This window comes from Homo sapiens, chromosome 1 (assembly GCF_000001405.40).
Source record: "Homo sapiens chromosome 1, GRCh38.p14 Primary Assembly".
Classification (NCBI taxonomy): domain Eukaryota; kingdom Metazoa; phylum Chordata; class Mammalia; order Primates; family Hominidae; genus Homo; species Homo sapiens.
The window spans coordinates 21,491,057-21,492,470 of NC_000001.11; the positions used below are offsets into that span (position 1 = coordinate 21,491,057).

General features: G+C 53.5%; 2 annotated features.

Annotated features, from left to right (window-relative positions):
• Positions 1-50: a silencer, noted in NCBI's record as "silent region_382". NCBI's record gives its function as "represses an Ori minimal core promoter by ATAC-STARR-seq in GM12878 lymphoblastoid cells {active_cell/tissue: GM12878}" and the evidence as "EXISTENCE:reporter gene assay evidence [ECO:0000049][PMID:35858748]".
• Positions 238-738: an enhancer, noted in NCBI's record as "H3K4me1 hESC enhancer chr1:21817787-21818287 (GRCh37/hg19 assembly coordinates)". NCBI's record gives its function as "activates a minimal SCP1, AML or CMV promoter by ChIP-STARR-seq in primed H9 embryonic stem cells {active_cell/tissue: H9 hESC(primed)}" and the evidence as "EXISTENCE:reporter gene assay evidence [ECO:0000049][PMID:30033119]".

The following is a 1,414-nucleotide window of genomic DNA, read 5'->3' on the forward strand; positions in this document are numbered from 1 at the left end:
TCCTGGAGCCCTGGGCCAGAGCAGGGCAAGGAGCTGAGTGAGCTGCTAACACACTGCTGTCCATCAGGCTGCAGATGGTGGAACTGAGAGCTAATTAGCATACTGTAACACCCCCTCTGGGGCTTTGGCATTGAAAACACCCCTGCCTGGGCACCACTGTGTTCCCTTCTGGGCAACACGCCTGGTCCAGCCACCAGCCTTGCACGGAGCCTGCTCCTGTGTTGGGGCTCAGCGCTCAGAACAGCCAGCCAGACCCCACAATCACTTACTCACACACCCCCTCCCTCCTGGGACTGAGTGCACAGTCACAGGGGCCACAGGATCCACACTGGAAGCTTGCCTTCAAGCACAGCCCAGCGGGCCAAGTTGACGGGGCATCTCCTGCTGTGAGCCTGACAAAGGGAGCAAAAAAAATCCTGCGCCAATAGCTCACTGCAGTCTCGACCTCCCGGGCTCCAGTGATCCCCCTCCCACATCAGCCTCCTGAGTAACTGGGACTGCAAGTGCGCACCACCATGCCCAGCTAAGTTTTTTGACTTTTTGTAGAGATGGGAGTCTCACTATGTTGCCTGGGCTGGTCTTGAACTCCTGACCTCAAGCAATCCTCCTATCTTGGCCTCCCAGCGTGCCGGGATTACAGGCATGAGTCACATTCCCATTTTTATAGATAAGGAAACTGAGGTTCAGAGGGGAATACTTTTGGTCGAGTGGACACAGGCAGCAAGTGACAGGGGTGAGGTTCCAACTCCTGTCTGTCCAACTCCTCAGCTTGAACCCTTTCTGCTGCAGGCAGGAAAAGAACTAAGTATTGGGTCAAAGAGGTCAAGGTTGGTTCTGAAGCTCCCCAGGGTTCAGAAATTTGGAAAAGTAAAATTGATGCTGGTGTAACTGGCAGAGTTCAATTTCAATTTCCTAAGCACCTCCCTGCTGCACCCCTTGAGAGTGGGGAGGAGACAAAATTCCCAAGCAGGGGGAAGTGATTACATTTCACTCAAATACTTGGCAACCTGCCCCAGAGGGTAATTAGCATTGAATGCTGAAAATAGGGGAGAGCAAAGGCTGAGTAGGGCCCCTGGGAGAAGTGGCAACAGATTATTGTTTAGAACTGCGAGTTTCAACAGCAGTGGTTTTCTTCCAGAGAAGAGGTCTGCCTTGCCTTCCTCTCCAGAGCCCTCTAGGTTAGATGAGAGTGATGCCAGTGAGGCCCTTCGCCATCTCCTATCCCTGCTGTTAGGACCCTAGGACCCAGTAGCAGTTCACATCAGTGAGGTTCTGCCTGCAACACTTTTATCCACAGGCTCCCTAAACCTCACCGGTCGTGGCCCAAGAGAGCCTGTTGGTCCCTGGGTTGCTGTGTCCACAGCAGGCTGCCATTGTGTATAGGACACCTGGCTGCAGGAAAGGTTTACTGAGC